Below are 27,336 nucleotides of genomic sequence, written 5' to 3'. Positions count from 1 at the left end.
TCGTGCCACTGCACTCCAGCCTGGCGACAGAGCGAGACTCCATCTCCAAAAAAAAAAACAAAAAAAACACAAATAAAAAAAGAAATAATATACATTCACCATCAGAAAGAAATGTGAAAAATTAGTACCTCAGAATGAAGGCAAAGTTGACATTTCTGAAATTCTAATTTCCTCATGATGAGTAATGCAAGAATGAGTAACGAAATGTAAACTATTCAAAGGATAAAGTGCACTAGTGTATATGAAAGCTTTGAAACTTACGTGTTATACAAATGTAAGTGATAACGATTATTGTCCAAGAAGGCTATGTATATATTAGGATTTAAAGCAAAATACGTGGTTCAGATGTTTCAAACTACTGGCACCATGGCTCATTACTAGAAATATATCTTAGTAGCAAAAGTTCATTGTCTCTTCATAAATAGGAAAACAAATGGTTGGAAAAGTGCATCTACCTGAAAGGGATCTATAGTAAATGTAGTCAAAAAATATAATCAATTTTTTAAACCCTGCTCATTAAACCAGGAACCAGTGCTTTGCCTGATGTTATTTTTACCAATTTGTGCTGAAGTGAAAAACTATAAAACACAATGAATGAGCTGTAAGATAAAAATTATTCTATTTGTTTTATTGTTCATAAATTGGAAATGTAAAAATGTTTCAGCCTTATATCAGTCCCCTAAACACTAAAAGAAAATTGACTGGTCTTTGAAATCCAAAAATCTGATCACCAGAATGTAAATATCCTTTCATCAAATCTCTACTTCCCATATCTATTTGAAACTTCAACACTGTTTCATCTTTACAACTAATTTTAAAAGAATATTTGTTACAGCAAATATAATAAAGCAGAAAGTATTAGGAGGCAAAATTATAGAAAAGGTGACTAGCAATCCCAAGAGAATTAATTGATAATCTATTTGAGAACCATAGAGTTGATTAGATACAAGACAGTTTTTAAATGAAAAATAACAACAAAAAGGTACCATTCAGAGAAGTTGCCAAATTTTAGAGGAGTACCTTATAGGCAATAGGTTTTATGCCCTTTTCTTAACTCTGGGCTATTTTGTCACCTAGACCTTTGCCAACAGCTTCTGTTTCTCACTTTACCCTTGTGGATTCAACATGGTCCAAGGCACAGGGCAGGCAGGGAACAGATATTGTTGCATATTATTCCTCCATATCTGAGACATTTTCTCCTACTCTGTGGGGAGTCTCTCCAATGGAGAGATGGGGTTTCACCGTGTTAGCCAGGCTGGTCTCGAACTCCTAACCTCGTAATCCATCCACCTTGGCCTCCCAAAGTGCTGGGATTACAGGTGTGAGCCACCGCACCCAGCCAGACCCACCATATTTTAAGAATATTCTTTTAGGGACAAATTATTCGTTAATTTTGGGGAACCTAGCAAATAGCAATGGTTCTCACCTCAAGGCACAGCCTGATCCAGAGTGTCAATGTCTTCAAGGCTTTATTAGTACAGAGAATATGTCATAGGATGAGGTTTTCTCTCACTTTATACATTAGTTAGCACATAAGTTGGTTGTATGCAAGAGAGACCTTATAGATCTTTAAAAGGATTTCTCATATAACAGTCCAATCTTTTATGTGGATCCTGAGCTACAAAGTTATCTGAGACCCAGGCTTGTTGTCTTCCTGTTCTACTGCCCTTGGGGTGTTACCCTGTTTCACATGGTCCAAGGTGGTTCACCCTCATGTCCATATTCCAGCCATCAGGATGGGATGTTGGAAGGGCATGACCCTGTTCTGTAAGGGAAATTGTACATATCACTTCTGGTCACATGACATTGGCCAAATCTTAACTACATGGCCACACCTAGCTGCAAGGAAAAGGTAGTCTTTATTCTGTCAACATGTATCCAGTTAAAATTCAGTGGTTCCTTCTTGAAGAACGCTGAGAAAGAACATTGGGATACAAACAGCAATCTCTACTACATCATCTGTCAGGCTAGATTTTTATCACCTGACAGCTAAAATGACTGCCAGGAGTCCCAAGAACTGCAGTGTACCAACTTAGAAACCCCATTGGTATGCTTCTCTCTTTATATTAGTAATTTAGATAGTAATAACTTTTTTAAAAATCCAGTGGAAAGTGGCAATATTTTATGTATTCTCTGGCAGAAAATTCCCTGTGGGTTCTAGGACTCTGATCGCTTGTAAGAGATAAAGTTGGGAAATGTTGAGGAAAACCAATAGGTAAGCAAATAACCTCAATAAAGGTTATAGTTCCTATTGTGGCAGATTCTACAGAGACTGCAGAGTTGCAAAGGTGGGAATGTTCAGAGTACAGCATGTATTTTGATGTAACCTGATCCTAGGATGGAAGGGGAAGCTTGGCATAAGAACAAGCTGGAAAAGTTGGTAGGCATCAGCTCTTGAAGGTCTTATATGCCGTCAAGGAGTTTGGACTTTTTGATTTTTTTTGCATACAATGTGAATTCATTGAGAATTTTAAAATAGGGATTTGACAAAATCGGATTTGTTTTATTGAGACCCTTCTGGATGTACTGACAGTGCAAGATTGTGGCAGCAAGAAGAACATTTAAAGGGATGTGTTGTTGTAGTCCAGACAGTGACATAATGTGGTTCTCAACAGGGGGAGTAGTTATGGAATTGATGAGGAAGGAACAGATAAGTCAGTTAAATTGATCTGGACCTAAAATTGTATGTTTGGAGATGAGGGAGCTGTAGGGAGTATGACTAAAGTGATTTCCCGTTTCTTGCTTGGATGTTGTGTTAGAGTACAGGCCAAACTTCCATATCAAAGAGGCCCTGGAATGTAAGGTAGAAACCATTTTGTATATACATTCAGTCCAGAAGTGAACAGCCAGGCATTGCAGACTAGTTCTGCCCCATGGGGTTGTTCACAGGCCCAGGTTCTTTTATCGTTTATCCTCCCAACCCCCAGTGAGTTGTCTGTCCTCATGAGCAAAGCACATTCACCAGAATTGTATCTGTGTTTTCAGCCTGTGAAAAAGGGGAAAGAGGAAATGGAAGGCAAAAAATCTTTTCATTTTAAAGGACGTTTACATCACTTTTGCCATTTTTTTTATTGGGGAGAACTTAATCATATCACCATGCCCAGTTGCAAGATGAACTGGGAAATATTGTCACTAAATGGATGTGCCTTGCTAAAACTCACGGAGCTCTATTAATAAATAGTGTTAATAAATGAATATATTTTAATATAAACATGTTCGGTTTTCTGTATTCAGATTCAGGTGGTTCACAATGTCATGCAGGCATTATTGTTATCATGGTCATTTCAGATATCCCTACAATTATCCTTCCACAATAAATTCACAGCCAAAAGTTAAATTTCATATCATGCTGAATAATGATTTTTTAATAAACAAATGGGCCCCTGCATACCTTTAACACAGAGAGACACAAACTTGCCTCATATTTTTGCTATTAGGTCTAGTATTCCTAGGAGTGGCAGAAATTAAGCCTCCAAGGTGCCCAGGGTTCTCTCCCTTAATCCCTAAACTTTTTCCAATCCCCTTGCCTTCTCCTCTGGGAACTTACTGGCTTAGCCTTCTCACTTATCCCATATCCCAAAAGCTCTATTACTAAAAGGAAGGAGAATGGATGAGGGCACAATTAGCAATCTCCATCACAGTTGACTAAATGGATGGTGCTGCTGTTTAATGGATTTGGGAACACGGGAGTCTTGATTTGGAGACATTAGTAGATGTATTTGGTGTCCCATATCACAGGCCTTTGGCCCACCTCTGATTAAGCTACAGCTATGGCAGAAGGGAAAGGTTGATATAGATGGAGATGAATTTCTGGGTATGGCTTTGGACATCAGGTAGCTTATACCTCTAATGTTTTCTTTCTTTGAATTAGAATGCAAGAATTTCTGCTGAAAGGGGACCCCCATGGGCAAGGGTGCTTGAAGAGAGGGTGAACCTACTAACTGGTAAGCTTCCTGAGATCAGGGGATAAGGTTTATTTCATCTTTATAGCCCTCATAACACTAATCAAAGAGCCTTGAACACAGTTGAAAAAACATTTAATATTGGAAGTGTTACTGTAAAATAGAACCGCTCATATTCTAGATCTTAACAATGTAAGATATATATAATATAAATTTATGTTTTTACATAATCCTTTAGTGGCCTGAATTTCTGTATATTGTTCTTCATCATAAGTTGATTCTTAATTTTTTGTCAGTTAGAATCATGAATATTAGAGCCCAATTTTCTTTTTTTATTTTTTAATTGAGACAGGGTCTCACTCTGTTGCCCAGGCTGGTGTCTAGTGGTGTGATCACAGCTCACTGAAGCCTCAACCTCCCTGGTAGAGCCCAGTTTTCTTATATAAACCCAAGGAACTTTAAATAATTTACCAAGGCTTGTACTGCTAGTTATTCATAAAACTGGAATTAGAACTGTGTTTCCTATCTCTTAAAGCACTTTCTAGTACACACTCTTGCCTGCTGAATAGCACTACCTCAAACAGGACTCAGAAAGTAAAATCACTATTGTTCTTTTTTTTTTTTTGTATTTTTTGTAGAGACAGGATTTTACCATGTTGCTCAGGCTGGTCTTGAACTCCTAAGCTCAAGGGATCAGCCTGCCTTGGCCTCCCAAAGTGCTGGGATTACAGGTGTGAGCCACCACACCTGGACTATTGCTCTGCTTGAGATTTATTTGGTCCTCCAGTCTAGTCCTGATGCACCTTAGGGCACGTGGTCTGGAATTTCTGACTCTTTACTCAGAACTCTGAATCAAGAGACGGCCCAACTAAAAGTCATCTTAGAACAATGGAGAAGGAGTGTGAAAAATTGGCTTTAACTGAAAACAAAACCCAATCAAACCCTTCAGTGATGATAAGTTTTAAAGTATTAAAACACAGTATTATTTTTAGTGTTATATTATGCTTATATTTTAGTATTCTATTTAGTATTTATATTTTTTTGTATTTTATTTTGACCATGTCAGTTCAGATAATCTCAATGAGAGCATTTAGCTAATTTAATAAATATTAAATTATTTTTATATTTAAATTCACAGTTATGATATAATTATATCAAGGTAATAATAAGATGTACCTTCCCAAATACTACCTATGTTCTGTGTATTCCCTGAATAAGAATTGAATGAATGCTTAAGGAGCAATAAAATCATTTCTAAATCTAAACAATTTGCACAGTATTACAGTAAAAATTTAAAGATATCACATCATATTTATTTCAAAATGCAATCTAAACTTTTCAAAAGCCTTTGTGCGTTTACTATCATGAGATATTTAATTATACCTGGAATCAACCTTAAAGTTACCATGCTGATAATAATGCTTGAGATATCTGAAATACCAAGGACTCTTAATAGCTGTGTATCCAGTTCACAATGTTCTAAGAACTTTGTGTCTTTTTCTCATGTCAGCTCTGTTTGTTAATGTTAAAGAAGGGAGAAATGTTGGGAGGCCAAGGTGGGTGGATTGCCTGGGGTCAGGAGTTCGAGACCAGCCTGGGCAACACAATGAAACCCCATCTCCACTAAAATACAAAAAATTAGCCGGGTGTGGTGGTGTGCGCCTGTAGTCCTTGCTACTCGGGAGGCTGAGACAGGAGAATTGCTTGAACCGGGGAGGAGGAGGTTGCAGTGAGCCAAGATCACGCCACTGCACTCCAGCCTGGGCGATAGAGTGAGACTCCATCTCCAAAAAAAAAAAAGAAGGGAGAAATGACAGAAAACTAGAATCAGCCAACTGTACAACTTGTCAGGAAACCTAGAAGATTTGGAGAAAGGGGAGGCATACCCTAGTGTTTAAAATGAGATCTGTGGAGGTGGGGCTTTAACGGATTTCACATCTTTTTGATGAAGACATACTAATAATATATCTAAAACAAGAATTCCTCTAAATATGTAAAGTCCTCAAATCTTACCATATATAAAACATTTTATCAACATAGAAGGGTTCCATTTTGCCTTGAAAGTAAATATGACAAAATTAAGTTGAAGTCTTTGGAATAATAGGATGCTGGGGACACATTTTATGAGTGGTACCTTGAAATTTCTTCAGATTAGATATTAGACACCAGAATATGCCATTTTTAGGCTGAGCATGGTGGCTTATGCCTGTAATCCCAGCACTTTGGGAGGCCTAGGCAGGATTGCTTGAGGCCAGGCATTCACGATAAGCCTCAGCAACATAGTGAGACCCTGCCTCTACAAAATAAAAATTAAAAAAAAAAAATTAGGTGTGGTTGTGCATGCCTGTTGTCCTAGCTACTTGGGAGGCTGAGGAGAGATGATCACTTGAGCCCATGAGTTTGAGGCTGCAATGAGCTATGATCACGCCATTGCATTCCCGCCTGAGTGACAGAGTGAGACCCTGTCTCTAAAAAATATATATATATGTATATATACATATATATATTTATGAATGTTTTTTAGTTATATGAGGGATAAGAAATATACCATATTCAGTTTTAACTCAGTTCTAGCATGTTCCAAGCATCTTGGTGGAGCTTTGTCTTGTTTAGCTTATTACAGAATCATTCATGCCTATACTTGTTGAAACACCTATGATTCTGCAATTCTATTTTAAATGAATCACATATATGAATGTTTTAGGAAGGGGTACCTCACAAAAGTTAGGCTACAGAGCATTTTCTGTGCCTGAATCATTTTTGCAGTGGTATATGGAGTAATGTACTTATCTGCCCTTCTATTGAAGCCCACCTCATTAGCCATAATCATCTATTCAGAACTTAGTTGCTCACTCAGTTCTTGTGCTATCTTAATCAGGGAATCCTAGTATTAATATATTCAATATATATTTACAGTATCATTTTGTGTTTATAAAAACCTCAAAACAGCTGCCAGAGAATATTTTGAATTGCTTCTCTCAATTATGTAATATAATTTTCCTTATATAATTTCTATTATGAGCTATGATACTCCTTTTTGTTTTACAAACAAAAATTTGAGATTATTGTAAATTCACATGCAGTTGTGAGAAATAATACAGAGAGATCCTGTATATCCTTCACTTGTTTTTCCCAATGGTAACACTTTGCACAACTATAGTAAAATATCACAACCAAGAAAATGACATTGATACAAATCATTAAAATTCACATTTTACCACTTTTACATGCATGCGTTTGGTGTGTGTATATTTAAATCTATGAAGTTTATTAACATGTAGATTCATGAGAACATCAACACAGTCAAGATATAAAATAGTTCTATTACAAATATCCTTTGTGCCATGCTTTTTTTTTTTTTTTTTTTTTTTTTTTTAAGACAGAGTTTTGCTCTTGTTGCCCAGGCTGGAGTGCAATGGGGCGATCTCGGCTCACCACAACCTCCACCTCCCAGGTTCAAGTGATTCTCCTTGCCTCAGCCTCCCAAGTAGCTGGGATCACAGGCATGCTCCACCACGCCCAGCTAATTTTGTATTTTCAGTAGAGACAGAGTTTCTCCGTGTTGGTCAGGCTGGTCTCGAACTTCCGACCTCAGGTGATCCGCCCACCTTGGCCTCCCAAAGTGCTGGGATTATAGGCGTGAGCCACTGTGCCCAGCCAGTGCCTTGCTTTTATAGCCACAGGCTTTTCCCTCCTCATCTCCCTAGTCAACCCCTAATCTGTAATTCATCTCTGTAATTTTGTCATTTTAAATTTGTTATATAGGGTGGGCATGGTGACTTATGCCTGTAATCCCAGTGCTTTGGAAGGTTGAGGCAGCAGGATCATGTGTGGTCAGGAGTTTCAAACCAGCCTGGGCAACATAGCAAGACCACATCTCTACAAAAAAATTTTTTAATTAGCCAGGTGTGGTGGCTGTAATTCTAGCTACTCGGGAGGTCGAGACAGAAGGATCACTTGAGCCCAGGAGTTTGAGGTTACAGTGAGCTATGACTGTGCTGCTGCACTGCAGCCTGGGCGACAGAGCAAGACCCTATCTCAAAGAAAAAAAAGTTATATAAATGGAATCATACTGTATTTAATCTTTTGAGATCATGTTTTCACTCAGCATAATTCTCTTGAGATTTATCCAAGTTATCGTGTATATCAGTAGACATTCCAAATGGTACAGTAATGTCACACCGAGAATCTGCTCCTCCATAAAAGCAATGAGGACATTAGCAAAAGCTGTTGACATAAACTTATTAGAATTGTGGAAATTAACAAAAGCTTGCCACATTCCAAGGAATGTTTACCTAAGAAAAACAGCTGAATCTCAGTAAGAACGGAAAGCCTATAGTGTTTTAACTTGCTCTAATCCTATACACCTCTCCCCAGTTCCATGGAAGCCTTGAAACTCAATAGCTTCACATTTATAGTAGTTGTGGAAAGTAGAGCTTAGCAGCCACTGGAGAGAAAAGAACAGATTTGAAGCCCAAAAAGGCTCATTCCCAGAGAATTAACCACGAGTTGACCTAACAGCTCACTGAAAATCTCCATAATCAGGACTTCTTTTAATTCGACCTATTTCAGAGTACACTCTGTATACAGCTTGATGTACAGGGCATTTATTTCTTAAAAAACAATCAGTAGTTCAACAAAAGAAATTAGACTTAACCAAAATGAAACTTTTGTGCTTCAAATCATAACATCAACATACATAATGTGAGTGAAAAAAAAGTAAAAAAACAACTCACACACCGGGAGAAAATATTTGCAAATCATATATCTGATAAGGGACATGTGTCTAGAATATGTAAAGAACTGATACAATTCAACAATAAAAAGACAAATAACCCAACTGAAAAATTGAGAAAAGATTTGAACAGACATTGCTTCAAACAAGATAGACAAATGACCAACAAGCACATGAAAAGATACTCAACACATTAGGGAAATACAAATGAAACCACAAGGAAATACCACTTTACACCTACTTGGATGGCTATAATAAAAAGCAAAAGCAGATCCTTTTGTAGTTTATAAGCGTGATGACTGGGGTTTCACGTGCATGTGTGAAATGTGCCTTCCCCAAGCCTTGTTATGACCTCATTGGAACATTACCCCTTTGACATGAAAATTCAAAAAAAGACAAAAGCAAGGATGGCAAGGATGTGGAAAAACTGAAATCCTCATACCTGCTGGTAGGAGTGTAAAATGGTACAATGGCTTTGGAAAACAGTTTTCTGTTCCTCAGAAAGTTAACAGAGATACCATATGACTCAGCAATTCCACTCCTAGGTACATAACCAAGAGAACTGGAAACATATGTACAGAAAAAACTGGTACACTAATGTTCATAGCAGCATTATTCATAACCGACAAAAAGGAGGAAAAACCCGAATGCTCATCAACTGACAAATAGATGAGCAAAAGGTCAATATCAGTGCAATGGAATCTTATTTATCCATAAAAAAATAGAGTTCTGATGCATGCTATAACAGAGATGACTCTTGAGCATATTAAGCTAAAGAAGCCAGAAACAGAAGGAAACATATTGTGTGATTCCATTTATATGAGAGATTCAGAATCAGCAAATCCATAGAGACAGAGAATAGATTAAGGATTGCTTAGGTCTGGGGCGTGAACATATGGACAATAAGGTGGAAATGGGGAGTAATGCTAATAGATATGGTAATGCTAATAGATATGGAGATTCTTTTGGGAGTAATGACAGTGTTTTGGAATTACTGGTGATTTTTGCACAATTATCTAAGTAGTGTTTGTATTGTCAGTGTTCTAAAAACAACTGAACTTTAAACTTTAAAAAGATGAACTTTATGGTATGTGAATTATATCTCAATAAAGCTTTTATTCTTAAAAAAAAGTTCATTTCCTTTTTATTGCCAGAGTATTCCATGGTATGTATATAACACAGTTTGTTTAATCATTCATCCACTGAAGGACATTTGGTTTTATTTGCTTGTTTCCAGTTTTTGGCTATTATGAGTAAAGCTGAAATAAAACAATACTTTTTTTTTTTTCTGTCACCCAGGCTGGAGTGCAGTGACGCAATCTCGGCTCACTGCAACCTCTGCCTCCTGGGTTAAAGCGATTGCCCCGCCTCAGCCCCCCGAGTAGCTGGGACTACAGTCATGTGCCACCACGCTCGACTAATTTTTGTATTTTTAGTAGAGATGGGGTTTCACCATGTTGGCCAGGCTGGTCTCGGACTCTTGACCTCAGGTGATCCACTTGCCTTGGCCTCCCGGCCTCCCAAAGTGTTGGGATTATAGGTGTGAGCCACCGCGCCTGGCCCAAAACAATACTGTTTTAAAACACACAAATAACTCTTATTTTAATGTTGAATCCTCCTAATTCAAGAATTCTGGGAATTTACGTGTTAAACCCTTCTAGTAAAAAATGATCATGCTTCAGTTAGCAGTTTCTTCCCTTAAATTATTTTTACTAATAAAGACTGTAAGACTCCATTCTTTTTTTCCTTCACTTTACTAGAGCTCATATAGCCTTAAAGGCAAGATTTATGATATGACCAGGTGCTTCTCCATGTCCCATACTGGAGCAACCCTTCTCTGCTTGTCCAGTATCAGAGAACAATGCTTTCTCTACCAAAGGGCCTTAAACATGCTGAAATTATTCCATTTATCTTTTTTTTTAAACTGTTTATTATCGGTCTTCTCCATTAGATTGTTCACTCCATCACAGGAGGGACCACGTCTATTTCACCAGTTCCTAGCATAGTGCCAGGCATGGAGTCAGTGCTCATGAAAGAAATAAATGAATGTATTTGGTTCTTGTTTGAATTCATATGACAAACGCTTGCATCTGTAGCTCTCGTCATTTAGTGAGTTCTCCAGCTTTCAGGGAGAGGTGTTATTACACCATTGTTTTTCTGGTTGTTATAGCAACCCACTGGCCTCTAAAACTACAAGTTAATTCTGATGCGCTCATTTTCCCAGACAACGAAACAATACTTTCAATTATGAAATAATGTTATTATAAATCATGTTTCTCACACTATAGAGGGACGCTGAGAGGTTTTCTTATCTTTTATGAAGATAGCAGAGAGTCAGCAAAGCAACAAATCTATTTGAACCAATAAATGCTAGGAAACAAAACCGAAGCAGTAAGACACACATATTCACTCCCAACTCTTTTTTATTTCTTTCAAATTCTCTAACCTTTCCACAAGCATCTGTAAATTCGACTGGGTTTGTCTGTCCAAGTTGTTAGGGAAGTTTTGAAAGGTGATTGTTGCAAAACAAAGAACTCTGAAGAGCTCTGTTACAGTCTAAGTATTTCCTCATTGCTGGTTGCTTAAATTTCATGTCAAATTAGCAAATGATAATAGTACAAAAATTGAGAGTTCTACAGAAAAGGTCCAGTATAAGGTACTTTCCAAACTTTTCCCACCTCCCATCCCCTCACATTGTAGGTACAGAAACAGAGAAGAGTTTTATCCAACTGGATTAGTCATTCTAAGGGTTACTTCTATATTACACTGCATTTTCTCTTCTGTAGGTTTTGGTCACAAGCACTACTAAGAGTCACGTTCCTGGCCAGGCGTGGTGGGTCACACCTGTAATCCCAACACTTTGGGAGGCTGAGGCGGGTGGATCACGAGGTCAGGAGTTCAAGACCAGCCTGGCCAAGATGGTGGAACCCTGTCTCTACTAAAAATACAAAAATTAGCCAGGCATGGTGGCAGGTGCCTGTAATCCCAGCTACTCTGTAGGCTGAGGCAGAAAAGTGCTTGAACCCGGGAGGTGGAAGTTGCAGTGAGCCGAGATCATGCCACTCCATTCCAGCCTGGGTGACAGGGCAAGACTCCATCTCAAAAAAAAGAGTCATATTCCATGGCCTATCTTGGAATATGCCAGCTCCAAGATATATCCTATAATAAATATTTCACTACACCTTCCCCTATGCAGTTCTGAATGCTTTTCTCATAAACAGGGTTGTGATACCCACCAGTTAACAGTCCCATAACCTTATGGTTATGGCTTTGACATTATAATGGCTTTGACGTTATAAAAGCAGTATCTACTTCAATACATTCAGCCATCTTCACAAATATACAGTGGGGATACTGTCAAGAGAACAATAAGGAAGGGCATTATAGAGTGCAGTGTCAATACTGCAGATTTTCAGATGGGCATGGTGGTGTGCATCCATAATTCCAGCTACTCAAGAGGCTGAGGTGGGAGGATCACATGAGCCCAGAAGTTCAAGTCCAGTCTGGGCAACATAGCGAGACCCTGTCTCTAAAAATAAGACTGAAGATTTTGCTGTCATAACTCCTGCTGCATTTTGATTTAAGTATTTGTAAGAACTTCATTTTAATCTTATAAAAGTCTCCAAGCTTATTTATGTATGTATGTATTTTTGCTTATTGTGAACCTGTCTTTGGACTTTTCTATTCTTTTAAATAAACACTGAATAATATACAACCCTAAGTCATATATCAAACCTTTGAGACAGTTAAACTTAGATATCTGCCTACTGTTAAAAATTGAAAATGAAAAAAATATTGATGATGACCGAATGAAATAGAAGATTTGCCAGGGGAGAATCAGGTGTCCAGCCACACAGGTCTGGTAACAATTTCTTGGTAGAGTGACCATGTTCCAGGTTTATTTCTCTGCTTTAGAAGTTTAGATATTCAGGTATTGCTACCCTTGATGTGATGGGGTTTGGGTACGGAATCAGGTTAACCTGTTGCGGGAAGTCAGGGACCCCGAATGGAGGGACAGGCTGAAGCCATGGCAGAAGAACATAAATTGTGAAGATTTCATGGACATTTATTAGTTCCCCAAATTAATACTTTTATAATTTCTTATGCCTGTCTTTACTGCAATATCTGAACATAAATTGTGAAGATTTCATAGACATTTATCACTTCCCTAATCAATACTCTTATGATTTCCTATGCCTGTCTTTTATCTCTTAATCCTGTCATTTTTGTAAGCTGAGGATGTATGTCGCCTCAGGACCCTGTGATGATTGCGTTAACTGCACAAATTGTTCGTAAAGCATGTGTGTTTAAACAATATGAAATCTGGGCACCTTGAAAAAAGAACAGGATAACAGTGATGTTCAGGGAACAAGGGAGATAACCATTAGGTCTGACGGCCTGAGAGCTGGGTGGAACAGAGCCATATTTCTCTTCTTACAAAAGCAAATAGGAGAAATATCGCTGAATTCTTTTTCTCAGCAAGGAACAGCCCTGAGAAAGAGAATGCATTCCCAGGGGTAGGTCTCTAAAATGGCCACTCTGGGAGTGTCTGTCTTAGACGGTTGCAGATAAGGGATGAAATAAGCCCCGGTCTCCCGTAGCACTCCCAGGCCTATTAGGATGAGGAAATTCCTGCCTAGTAAATTTTAGTCAGACCGGTTTTCTGCTCTCAAACCCTGTCTCCTGGTAAGATGTTATCAATGACAATGCGTGCTCAAAACTTCATTAGCAATTTTAATTTTGCCCTGGTCCTGTGATCTCGCTCTGCCCCCATTTGCCTTGTGATATTTTATTGCCTTGTGAAGCATGTGATCTCTGTGACCCATACACTCCCTCCCCTTTGAAAATCACTAATAAAAACTTGCTGGTTTTGTGGCTTGAGGGGCATCACGGAACCTGCTGACATATGATGTCTCCCCCGGACACCCAGCTTTAAAATTTCTCTCTTTCGTACTCTTTCCCTTTATTTCTCAATCTGGCCAACACCTAGGGAAAACAGAAAAGAACTTACATTGAATTATCAGGGGCTGGTTCCCCCGATATTAACCAAATCAATAAGAATCAAATATACAAAAAATATGATACTGATATATTAATTTACAATTATAAAATATAACTTTCATATCAATTAGCTAGATACTGGTGATCCCTGATTAGCACATATTCTTGTGGCCTAATTTTCATGAGAGATGAATTACTGTCAGAAGCTTGCTTGGTGGACATGGACATAGAATTCACAGAGCAATTTGGATGATCTTAATGACCACTGTCAAGGTGGTGTGAGAAGCTGGTTCATTTGTCTTCACTGTAGGGGGAGACCCGAATGGACAGTTTTTCTGGACAGAGCCAGATCTAAAGGTCCATAATTGCATGGCCAAGTCTTTCCTAGGCTTCTGTGCTGGAGCTCCTCCTACCCTCCTCTGGTTGCTACATACTTTCTTGTACCCTTTTCTCCTTTGCATTATTTCTGTGGTTATATCATTTCTTCAATCAGATTAATATAAAGTGGAACCCATTTTTCCTTTTCAAGATTACATATCTCAGCTAGGCACAGTGGCTCATGCCTGCAATCCCAGCATTTTAGGAGCCCAAGGCAGGAGGATCACATGAGGGTAGGAGTGCAAGACCAGCCTAGGCAATACAGCAAGACCCCATGTCTATAACAAAACTTAAAATTAGCCGGGCATGGTGGTGCATGCCTGTAGTCCCAACTAGTCTGGAGGCTGAGGTGGAAGGATCTCTTGATCCCAGGAGGTAGAGATTACACTGAGCTATGATTCCATCACTGCATTCCAGTTTGGGCAACAGAGCAAGACCCTGTCTCTAGAAGAAAAAAAAAGATTACATATCTGCTCTGATTTGTATTTATTTTCTTTGGAAATGAATTTTTTAAAGGCTGTCATACATATTCCAATGTTTAATTTTGTGTGTATTTGGTGGGGATCTGCATGTGCCTCTGGCCTCCATGTACTACTGTGTCTTTATTTATTTATTTATTTTGAGACAGAGTTTCACTCTTGTTGCCCAGGCTGGTGTGCAGTGGCATGATCTCAGCTCACCGCAACGTCTGCCTCCTGGGTTCAAGCGATTCTCCTGCCTGAGCCTCCCGAGTAGCTGGGATTATAGGCATGCACCACCATGCCCGGCTAATTTTGTATTTTTAGTAGAGACAGGTTTTCTCCATGTTGGTCAGGCTGATCTCGAACTCCCGACCTCAGGTGATCCTCTCACCTTGGCCTCCCAAAGTGCTGGGATTATAGGCGTGAGCCACCATGCCCAGCCCTACTGTGTCTTTAAACTGTCAGCATATCATTAACTATGTATCACTGGTGTGGACGTCTAAGTATTGTTCATTTTTATGAAATGACAATGTGCAGAGAGCACAGAAAAGACATTTATGATGTGTTTATGATGAATTTCATAGATTTGAGGATGATCAACTATGTTATTTTTATTATAAATGTAATGAAATATTGAACATAATTTCTACTATAATATCATATATTACTTTCCAAATTTCATTTTGCTCAGTATTTCTCAAAGGCTCTTAAGTTTCACATGAGGATATTTTATTCAAAAAAGAACTCAAGGAAAACAGATATGTGAGCCATTGCACCAAGTCGAACAATTCAGTAATGGATTCTGTCCTATACTTCTCATGCTTGGAACATGTAATTATTGAATGATTAACTAATATGCTCAGTTCTATATTAAATGGAAATCCTAAAACACACTGTTGGTAGAAAAGTGTAAACCAAAAATTATTATTTTTGTAGAAATGCAGTAATTGTGCAAATCTCAGCAAAATATATTTTCAGAGATCTTAGTTTCATTAAAATAATGTAAGATAGCACATAATACAATGTTTAGCATAAACTAGATGATCAAAAAATATTACTGTCTCCTAATATTACAAAGAAAATGTCCAACATATAATATAAAGTATCAGTCATACCAAGAACCAAGAAAGTCACAACTTGAATGAGAAAAAGGCAATCAACTGATACCAATACAGATGAATCAGGTATTGGAATTATTTGGCAAGCACTTCAAAACAGCCTTCATAAAAATGCTTTAATAGCCTATTAAAAATTCTCTAAAAACGATGGGAAAAAAAGCGAAAAATCTCAGCAAATAAATTGAAATAATAAAAAAGAACTAAGTGGAACCTATAACGCTGAAAAATAGAGCTGGGTGTGGTGGCATGCACCTGTGTCCTAGCTATTCAGGAGGCTGATGCAGGAGGATCATTTTAACCCAGGAGTTTGAAGCTGTAGTGTACTATAATCATGCCTGTGAATAGCCACTACACTCCAGCCTGGGCAACATAGTGAGACCTCATCTCTAAAACAAAACCAAAACCAAAAGATAAACTAACAGAAATAAAACAGCAATAGTAGAATGGACAAAACAGAGGATAGCATCAGAGTCTTTCAGGACAATCAGTGGAATTCACTCAAATTGAACAACAGAGAGAAAAACAGGAAAAAATGAACAGAGGCTCAGAGACTTGTAGGATAATAACAAAATAGCCAACATTTGCATCACCAAAGTTCCATGAGAGTGGTGGTGGAAGAGAGTGAAACTGAAGGAGTACTTGAAAAAATAATTGCTGAAACTTCCCAAATTTGTTGAAAAACAGAAAACTACAGATTCAAGAATCTGAGCAAATCCCAACAGGTTAAGCCCAAAGAAATCCATTCCAAGACACATCAAAATTAACTTCTTTGCCAGGAGCAGTGGCTCACGCCTGTAATCCCAACACTTTGGGAGGCCAAGGCGGGCAGATCACGAGGTCAGGAGATCAAGACCATCCTGGCTAACATGGTGAAACCCCGTCTCTACTAAAAATACAAAAAATTAGCCGGGCATGGGTGGCGGGCACCTGTAGTCCCAGCTACTTGGGAGGCTGAGGCAGGAGAATGGTATGAACCCAGGAGGCGGAGCTTGCAGTGGAGCCGAGATCCCGCCACCACATTCCAGCCTTGGTGACAGAGCAAGACTCCATCTCAAAAAAAAAAAAAAAAAAAAAAAAAATTACTTCTTAAAAACTAAGTGCAAATTTAATCAGTTAAACTTCTTAAAGAAAAGATCTTAAAAACCAAAGAAAAATGACACATTATCTATAGGGTAATATCTATTTGAATGACAATTTCTCATCTGAAACCATGGAGACCAGAAGGAAGTGGCACAGCTATTTTTTTTTTTTAAACAAAGTGGGTCTCACCCTGTCACCCAGGCTGGAGTGAAGTGGCTCAATCATGCCTCACTGCAGCCTCCAACTTCTGGGCTCAAGTGATCCTCCCACCTCAGCTTCCTGAGTAGCTGGGACTACAGGTGAGCACCACCATGCCCAACTAAGTTTCCCTCTCCCCCTCCCTGAGACGGGATCTTGCTATGTTGCACAGGCTGGCCTCAAACTCCTGGCCTTAAATGATTTTCCCACCTTGGACTGTGGAGTCACTGGGATTACAGGCCTGAGCCACCTCGTCCAGCTGGTACAGCATTTTTTAATTGCTAAAAGAAAATAACTTTCTACTGAAAAGTTCACATTTACCAAAATTATTCTCTAGGAATGAATTCTCAGATGAATGAAAAATAAAAGAATTTGTTGCTTGCAGACTTATCCTTAAAGATTGGCTACAGAAAGTTCTTTAAATAGAAAATAAATGATCAAATATCTCAGAGGATTAGGAAGGAAAAAGGAACAACAGAAAGAGCAGAAATACAAACATATACAAAAGCATGTTTTATAAATCATACAATGGTATGTTTCATAAACCATGAATTTTATAAATCATATTTGATTATTGAAACAAAAATTATAGGCCAGGCACGGTGGCTCACGCCTATAATCCCAGCACTTTGGGAGGCTGAGGCAGGTGGATTACCTGAGGTCAGGGTTCGAGACCAACTTGACCAACCTGGTGAAACCCCATCTCTACTAAAAAAATACAAAATTAGCCTGGCATGATGGCACATGCCTGTAATCCCAGCTACTTGGGGAGGCTGAAGCAGGAGAATTGCTTGAACCTGAGAGGCAGAGATTGCAGTGAGCTGAGATTGCACCACTGCACTCCAGCCTGTGCAACAAGAGCAAAACTCCGACTCAAAAAAAATAATGTATAGGAATTAGTCCGAGTGGAGCGAGCGAGTGAGCAAGCTGAGTGGCTGCGTGGTCACATCTCAGAAACTGGTAGCGCTTGCAGCATGGCTGACCAACTGACTGAAAGGCAGACTGCAGAATTCAAAGAAGCTTTTTCACTATTTAACAAAGATGGTGATGGAACTATAACAACAAGGAATCAGGAACTGTAATGAGGTCTCTTGGGCAGAATCCCACAGAAGCAGAGTTACAGGACATGATTAATGAAGTAGATGCTGATGGTAATGGCACAGTTGACTTCCCTGAATTTCTAACAATGATGGCAAGAAAAATGAAAGACACAGACAGTGAAGAAGAAATTAGAGATGCATTCTGTGTGTTTGATAAGGATGGCAATGGCTATATTAGTGCAACAGAACTTCACCATGTGATGACAAACCTTGGAGAGAATTTAACAGATGACGAGGTTGATGAAATGATCAGGTAACCACATATTGATGGTGATGGTCAAATGATCTATGAAGAGTTTGTACAAATGATGACAGCAAAGTGAACAACTTGTACAGAATGTGTTAAATTTCTTGTACAAAATTGTTTATTTGCCTTTTCTTTGTTTGTAACTTATCTGTAAAAGGTTTCTCCCTACTGTCTAAAAAATATGCATGGGGTGGGGCTCGGTGGCTCACGCCTGTAATCCCAGCACTTTGGGAGGCTGAGGTGGGCGGATCACGAGGTCAGGAGTTCGAGACCAGCCTGGCCAATATGGTGAAAGCCCATCTCTACTAAAAATACAAAAACTAGCCGGGCATGGTAGTGGGCACCTGTAGTCCCAGCTACTCAGGAGGCTGAGACAGGAGAATCGCTTGAACCCAGGAGGCGGAGGTTGCAATGAGCCGAGATCACACCACTGCACTCCAGCCTAGGAAACAGAGCAAGACTCCATCTCAAAAAAAAATTTAAAAATAGATAAATAAATAAATAAAAGCAAAAAAAAAAAACCTACTAGGGTAGAGATGACAGAGAGAGATAATACATGTTAATGAAAAATTCAATTGACAAGGAAAACTTAATGATCTCAAATGTGTATAAACCAAAAAACAGTCTTAAAATACATGAAGCAAAACTGATAGACTTAAAAGGAAAAACAGACAACTCCACAATTATTATTGGAAAATGCAACATGATCTTTCAGCAAGTGACAAAGCTACTGACAGTAAATTAGCGAGAATATAGAAGATCTGACTAATATAATCAACCAATCATGGAGTGACACATCACTCCACCCAATAAGCAGAGTACACTTTTTTTTCAATTGTTCATGGAAGATTCATCAAGATAGACCATGTCCTGAGCCATACAACAACTTCAACAAATGCAAAATAAATGAAAGTATACGTAGCATGTTTCCTGACAATATTGGAATCAAACAGATAATCAATAACGAAGACAACAGGAAACTCTCTAAACACAGAGAAATTGAACAACATAAATTTTAAATCATTGCTGGGACAAAGAGGAAAATCTCAAGTTAAAAATGAAACTTAAGGAATATGAAAATACAACATACCAAAACATGTTGGATACAGCTAAAGGATTTTTGAGAGCAAAACTGTAGCATTAAATGTTTACATTAAACATGAGAAAAGGACTCAAGTCAATCTAAGCTCCTACCATAAGGCACTAGAGAAAGCAGAGGAAAATAAACCCAAAGCAATCAAGAAGAAGGAGGTCAGGCTTGGTGGCTCACACCTATTATCCCAGCACTTAGGAAAGCCAAGGCAGGGAGGATCACTTGAGCCAGGATTTCAAGACCAGCTTGGGCAGCATAGCGAGACCTCATTTCTACAAAACATTTTAAAAATTAGGCATGGTGGTGTGTCCTGTAGTCCCAGCTACTCTGAGATAGGAGAACTGCTTGAGCCCAGGAGTTCAAGACTGCAGTGAGCTATGATCGCACCACTGCACTCCGGCCTGGGTGACAGAGTGAGAGTCTCTCTTTCTTAAAAAAAAGGAAGGAAATAATATAGAGATCAGAACAATAATTAATAAAATTAGAAATAAGAAATAGCAGAGAAGAAAATTTAATGAAGTAAAAGACGATTTCTTTCTTTTTTTTCTTTTCTTTTTTTTTTTTGAGACGGAGTCTCACTGTGTCGCCCAGACTGGAATGGAGTGGCACGATCTTGGCTCACTGCAAGCTCCGCCTCCCAGGGTCACACCATTCTCCTGCCTCAGCCTCCCGAGTAGCTGGGACTACAGGCGCCCGCCACCATGCCTGGCTAATTTTTTGTATTTTTAGTAGAGACGGGGTTTCACCGTGTTAGCCAGGATGGTCTTGATCTCCTGACCTCGTTATCTGCCTGCCTCGGCCTCCCAAAGTGCTGGAATTACAGGCATGAGCCACCGCACCCGGCCTGTTTCTTTTTTAAATCAATAAAATGTACAAACTTCTTTCAAGAGTCACAAAAATTAAGAGAAAACAGATATCACCAATATGAGGAATAAAACAGGGGATGTCACTTCATATCCTGTAGCCACTAAGATAATAAGAAAATATTACACAAAGTTTTATACTCTAAAACAGTTTTTTTACTGAAAACTTAGAAGTAATGAAGCCTTTTGAGGAACCACAAACTACCAAACACAACCAAGATGAAATAGATAATTTAGGTAGCCCTATATTAACCATTAAAGAAACTGAATTTATTTTAAAAAATCTCCTAAAAAATCCCAGGCCCAGATGGTTTCACTGCAGAATTCTACAAAACATTCAAAGAGATAACAATGCATTTTCACAATCTTTTCCAGAAAGAAAGAACAGTCCCCAACTCACTGTGAGGCTAGTATCACCCAAATATCAAAACCAGTACAAAAAAATAAAAACAACAACAAAAAAACAAAAAACTACATACCAATAGCTTTCATGAACATAGATTCAAAGGTCCTCCACAAAATATTAGCAAACTGAATAAAATAACAAAACATTACGCACTGTGACTATCTTAATTCAGGCTGCTGTACAAGAATATCAAATGTTGGGTGGCATAAAGAACAAACATTTATTTCTCATAGTTCTGGAGGTTGGGAAATTCAAGATCAAAGTGTTAGAAGTTCCAGTGTCTGGGGAGGGCACTCTTCTGGGTTTACAGATCACCCTCTTCTCACTGTATCCTCTCATGGCTGAAAGAGATATAAACTCTCTCATGTTTTGTCTTATAAGGGCACTATTCCCATTCATGAGGGCTCCACCCTCATGACCTCCCAAAGGTCCTACCTCCTAACACCGGGGAGTTAGAGTTTCGCATATAAATTTTGAGGGGACACAAACATGCAGTTCATAGCCTTGACCAATAGGGATTTATTCCAGGCATCCAAGGCTAGTTCAACATTTGAGAAATCTATGTAATCCACCAGATCAACAAGCTAAAAAGTCATATGATCATATCAATTGACACAGATAAAGCATGTAACAAATTCCAACACACATTCATGGTTTTTAAAAAAGGGCGGGGTGCTGGCTGGGTGCAGTGGCTCACGCCTGTAATCCCAGAACTTTGGGAGGCCGAGGCGGGTGGATCACTTGAGGTCAGGAGTTTGAGACCAGCCTGGCCAACATGGTAAAACCCCATCTCTACTAAAAATACAAAAATTAGCTGGGTGTGGTGGTGTATGCCTGTAGTCCCAGCTACTCGGGAGGTTGAGGCAGAAGAATCGCTTGAACCCAGGAGGCAGAGGTTGCAGTCAGCCGAGATCACACCACTGCACTCCAGCCTGGGAAACAGAGCAAGACTTTGTCAAAAAAAAAAAAAAAAGAAAGAAAGAAAGAAAGAAAGAAAAGGGTGTGGTGGGGGGTGGGCATGGTGGCTCATGCCTGCAGTGGCCCAATCTCGGCTCTCTGCAGCCTCTGACCGCCAGGTTTCAGCAATTCTCCTGCCTCGGCCTCCCGAGTAGCTGGGATTACAGGCACGTGCCACCACACCCATCTAATTTTTTTATTTTTAGTAGAGATGGGGTTTCACCATGTTGGCCAGGCTGGTCTCAAACTCCTGACCTCATGATCTGCCCGCCTCGGCCTCTCAAAGTGCTGGGATTACAGGCGTGAGCCACTGAGTCCGGCCTCCTATATCTTTATTTTCTAATTTCTTCTTTTTTTTTTAGACAGGTTCTCAATCTGTCAGCCAGGCCAGAGTGCAGTAGCACAATCACAGCTCACTGCAGCCTCAAACCCCTGGGCTCAAGTGATCCTCTGACCTCAGCCTCCCAAGTAGCTGGGACTACAGGTACACACAACCATGTTCTGCTAATTTTTTTTTTTTTTTGTAGAAATGGGGGTGTTGCTATGTTGCCCAGGCTGGACTTGAACTCCTGGCCTCAAGTGATCCTCCTGCTTTGGCCTCCCAAATTACTGGGATTGCAGTTGTGAGCCCAGTCTGTACCCTATTGCTTCCTATGTTCTTTGAGAGACAAATGTAGAAAACAGTAATTATAAAGTATGCTAATGGGTACACAATGTATAAAAGATGCAATTTGTGACAATAACAAAGCTGTATAGGAATAGATTTTGTGTATGCTACTAAAACTTAGTTGATACCAACTCAAACTGTATTTTTATATATTTAGGGTGTTTTTTGTAATCACCAGAGTACTCACAAAAAAATAATTAAAATATATACAGAAAAGACACTGAGGAAGGAATCAGAATGGTACACTTTAAAAAACACGAAAGACACAAACACAAAAGACAGTATTTGGGGAGCAAAAAGTATATGAAACTTGTAGAAAACAATAGCAAATGATAGAAATAATTGCTTTCTTATCAGTCATCACTTTAAATGTTAAAAAATTAAACTCACCATTAAAAGGCAGAGATTGGCAGAATGGATTCAAAAAATACATTTTGAGTTCAAAGAGACAAATATGTTGAAAGTAAAATATATTGAAATAAAATATATTGAAAGTAAAATAATGGAAAAAGATATTCCATACAAATGGTAACAAAAGGAGAACTGGGGTGGCTATGCTAATATCAGTCCAAATAGACTTTAAAATGAGGGATATTATTATATATTCATAAAAGGGTCAATTCACTACCAAGATGTAACAATTATAAATATATATTCACCAAACAGCAGAGCCCCATAATATGTGAAGAAAACGTTAACAGAAATAAAGGAGAACTAGTTCTACAATAATTATTGGAGATTTTAATAACCCACTTTCAATAATAGATAGAACAAAACAAAAAAAAGAGAAAAATAAAAATAACAGAACATCTAAATAGCACATGAATAAGTAAGTAGAGGACTTGAACACTGTAAATCAACTAGACCTACTAGACACATATAGAACACTCTACCAGCAGAGCAGAGTCCTCACTGTTCTCATACATGGAACATTCTACAGAATAGATCATACTTTAGGCCACAAAATAACGATAAATACATTTAAAATACTTAAATCATAGAAAGTATCTTCTCTGACCACGATGAAGGGAAGCTAGAAATCAATAACCAAAGGAAAATGGAAAATTCACAAATGTATGGAAATTAAACAACACACTCTTAAACAACCAATGGATCAAAGAAAAAAATCAACAAGGGAAATATGAAAGTACTATATAAATTAAATGCAAAACACAACCTACCAAAACTTACAGGATGCAGCAAAAGTAGTGCTCATAGGGAAATCATAGTTGCAACTGCCTACATTAAAAAAGAAGAAAGAGCACAAATCAATAACCTAACCCTATTCCTTAAAGAACAGGGGAAAAAGAAGAGTAAACTAAGGACAAAACTGGTAGAAAGAACAGTCTCTTCAATAAAAGGTACAGGACAACTGGATATGCACATGCAAAAGAATGGAATTAGACCCCCATCTCATACCATATACAAAAATTAAGTTGCAATGATTGGCCAATGACCTAAATATAAGAACTAAAACTATAAACTCTCAGAAGAGTTAGGGGTAAATCTTCATAACTTTGAATTTGGCCATGGAGTCTTAGATGTGACACTGAAAACACAAGCAACAAAATAAAAAATAAACTGGACTTTCTCAAAATTAAAAACTTCTGTTTGTCAAAGGATATTCTCAAGAAAGTAAAAAGACAACAACAGAATGGAAGAACATATTTGCAAATTATATATCTCATAAGGGTCTAACATCCAGAATATGTAAAGAATTCTTACAACTCAACAACAAAAAGACAACCCAACTTAAAAATGGGCAAAGGACTTAGACATTTTTCCAAAGATGATAAACAAATGGACAACAAGTACATGAAAAGATGCTCAAGATCATTAGTCATTGGGGAAATGCAAATCAAAACCACAATGAAATACAGCTTCATACCCACTAGAAATGGGTATAATTATACAACTATGGCTACTAAAAAGGATGAGATGGGGAAATAGCAAGTGTTGGTGAAGATGTCGAGAAATTCAAACCTTTGTACATTCCTGGTGGGAACGTAAAATGGTTCAGCCTCTAAGGAAAACAATTTGTTAATTCCTCAGTAAATTACATATAGAATTACCATATAACCCAGCAATGTCACTTCTAAGTATATATCCCAAAGAATTGGCAACAGGTATTTTAACAAATACTTGTACACGAATTAATGTTCATAGCAGCCCTATTTGCAATAGCCAAAAGGAGGTGGAAACATCCCAAGTGTCCATCAATTGATGAGTGAAAAAAACCAAAATGTGGCATATTTATTCAATAGAATATTATTCAGCCATAAAAAGGAATGAAGTACTGATACACTCTACAACAAGGATTAACCTCAAAGGCAAATAAAATGTTCACTTCAAAATTGTTAATTTTACATTATGTGAAATTCACCTCAATCACCAATTCCACACAGTGGAATTTCACAGTGAGCAAGCCTATGCAAACCAACCACTAAATTCCAAGGAAGCGGAGAATTCAAAGAAAGAGGCTTACATATCCAGTTTCTCAGGAAGAAACTTTCCTTCCTTCCTTCCTTCCTCCCTTCCTTCCTTTTCTTTTTCTCCTTCTCCTTCTCCTTCTTCTCTCTCTCTCTCTCTTTCTTGTTTTTTGAGACAGAGTCTCACTCTGTCACCAGGCTGGAGTGCAGTGGCATGATCTCAGCTCACTGCAACCTCCAATTCCCTAGTTCAAGCAATTCTCCTGCCTCAGCCTCCTGAGTAGCTGGGATTACAGGCATGCGCCACCACGCCCCGCTAATTTTTGTATTTTTTGTAGAGACAGGGTTGCACCATGTTGGCCAGGATGGTCTCGATCTCCTGACCTCGTGATCCGCCCGCCTCGGCCTCCCAAAGTGCTGGGATTACAGGCGTGAGCCACCATGCTCGGCCTCTTCTCTTGTCTTGTCTTCTCTTCTCTCTCTCTTTCTCTCTCTCTTTCCCTCTTTCTTTCCCTCCCTCCCTCCCTTCCTTCCCTCCTTCCTTCCCTCCTTCCTTCCTCTCTCTCTTTCCTTTCTCTCTCTCTTTCCTTCCAGACAGGCTCTCACTGTGTCACCTAGGCTGAAGTGCAGTGGCATGATCACAGCTCACTGCACCCTTGAACTCCTGGCTCAAGCAATCCTCATGCCTCAGCCTCTGTAGCTAGGACTAGAGACATGTGTCTCCATGCCCAGCTAACTTTTTTGTGTTTTGTAAAGGGAGGAGGGGGGTCTCACTATGTTGCTCAGGCTGGTCTTGAACTCTTGGCCTCAAGTGTTCCTCCTACTTTGCCTCCCAAAGTGCTGGGATTATAGGTGTGAGCCACTGCACCTGACAGAAACATTTAATAGTGACTTATGAATAGAAACCATGTCTGTGTCTCAGGTAGTGTGGAGACAGGTTGGTGGATCCCCACGCCATTACACCCAGAACCAAGGCCTATATACCATGGGGAAAGGGTATATGTGATACAGAAGTGATGTGTAGGAAAATTATTCAAGGGCAGGACTTAAGGTAAGTACATGATCTTACACAAGGAACAGTAAGCAAAATAAATAATTAAAAAAAAACCTTAGAGGCCTTTTTGGAAATGGGGTTAATCAGAACTCAATATGGCAGATCAACATCCAAGATGGAGTTGCTTTAGCCCCCACACTCCATCCCTCTTAATCTCACACACCCTCCTCTTCTGGGCCTTTAGGGAAAGTGCTTGACATTGCACAACTTTAGCAGCAGTGGGTTGGCAGGGAAAACAGATCAGACCCAGTAGCATTCCAAATTAGGGAGATTCACAGGCTTTGGTTTGTCATCTCTAGTCATTGGAATACCGTGACTTTGGTTTTCTTGGAAGAAGTAAAAGTAGAGATATATAACATTAATAATTTGAATAGTAGAAATATAATGCACACAAGGATTATAATAAAAAAGGGCATGAAGACAATTAAATCTCGGTTTTTCTTTAGAAATTTGTAGCCAGGAAATAATTCAGGATTCAGTTTGAATTATAGGCAAATAATAAAACTCAGAAACAATCATTAAGGCTACAGTCTAATAATGAGCATACTATAGTTTTCTTCTGAAACATAGTTTTTCTCAACAGTTTTCCCATTTCTACTAAGGATAAATCAAAGTAGGGCCAATTTACTTGTGAAATAAATTTAGTCTCATTAACTTGACCTGACTATTTGCATAAAGTGCAGGGATTGGCCATATTGGCTCCTTTTAAGATGGCTTCACTGGGACACTTTTCATAAGGAATCTCAGATTAGACTTCTATAAGCCCTGAGGCTAACCAAGTCAAGGATTCGCTATCCGATTGTGCCTGTCATACCTGTATGAATGGGTGTATTCCTCTCTTCTTGAGGCCCAAAAATAACTTGAGGTTCCTGGGCCTGCCAGAAAGTGACATTTTTTACTTACCAGAGGTAGGCTGGCCTTTCTGTGGGGGTTTTATCAGCTCTGCAACATCAGCCTCATTTCCTCAAAGCAATGTGGTCATATCTGAAAATATGCCATTCCAGTCAAGGCCTTGATAGAAGAACCTGTGTCTCCAATTGTGTCCTGTTACAAAAGAAAACAGATTCTTACTGAACTTATGCAAATAACTGTATTCCCATGTCATACGAATATATGAATAGTTTCCAGTTTTGGAGATATCAGGTAGAGAGACAGGTAAATTTTGTTCACAATAGTATACTTTACAATTAGAGTAGCAGCCTTCCAAACAGGATATTGTCCTTTCACCTTGGAACTGCCATCCACAAACCAAGCAGCTCTTTGTCAGTCAGGTGAGAGCTGTTTATTGGGCACTGTAGAATCCAGCAGCCCCTCACACAGTTTCAGAGTGACTCCTAGGGAAAAAGAGACTCCCTGCTCCTATCTCCTCCTTGCATCCTTCAAATAGCAGGATACTACACAAATCATTCCCATTTTATTGGTGGGACCCTTTTGGGTGCTGCTATCCTCATTAGAGTGTTTCTCTGACATTCAGACATTACTATTTCAGGTGTCAAGGCCATTTTATGCCCTTCAATCATAGCAGTAGCTTCAGCTAACATCCAATTACAAGGCAGCAAATACCCCCAAATGAAAATTCTCTAGTGAAGGTGCTCATAGACTTTTGCCATAAGCCCCAATAAAAATTCTACAAGGAGCTATCCAGTG

The 27,336-nt window shown here is 38.9% G+C and overlaps 1 long non-coding RNA gene, 1 other non-coding gene and 1 pseudogene across 2 annotated transcripts in view; 2 read left to right on the top strand and 1 right to left on the bottom strand.

Moving 5' to 3' along the window:
- Window positions 1-27,336, bottom strand: part of KBTBD6-DT (KBTBD6 divergent transcript) — a 103,759-nt gene that overhangs the window by 47,691 nt on the left and 28,732 nt on the right. The window contains exon 3 of the long non-coding RNA NR_120423.1: window positions 26,593-26,733. This is a non-coding gene — a long non-coding RNA (KBTBD6 divergent transcript). The remainder of the gene's footprint in view (window positions 1-26,592; window positions 26,734-27,336) is intronic.
- On the top strand, window positions 8,909-9,015 carry LOC124903260 (small nucleolar RNA U13). The gene has a single exon (XR_007063959.1). It is a non-coding gene; the product is annotated as a small nucleolar RNA U13 (small nucleolar RNA).
- Window positions 17,772-18,408, top strand: CALM2P3 (calmodulin 2 pseudogene 3; annotated as a pseudogene).

Source organism: Homo sapiens, chromosome 13 (assembly GCF_000001405.40).
Source record: "Homo sapiens chromosome 13, GRCh38.p14 Primary Assembly".
NCBI lineage: Eukaryota > Metazoa > Chordata > Mammalia > Primates > Hominidae > Homo > Homo sapiens.
The sequence above is the reverse complement of the archived record's forward strand: the minus strand, read 5'-3'. Positions and strand labels throughout refer to the sequence as shown.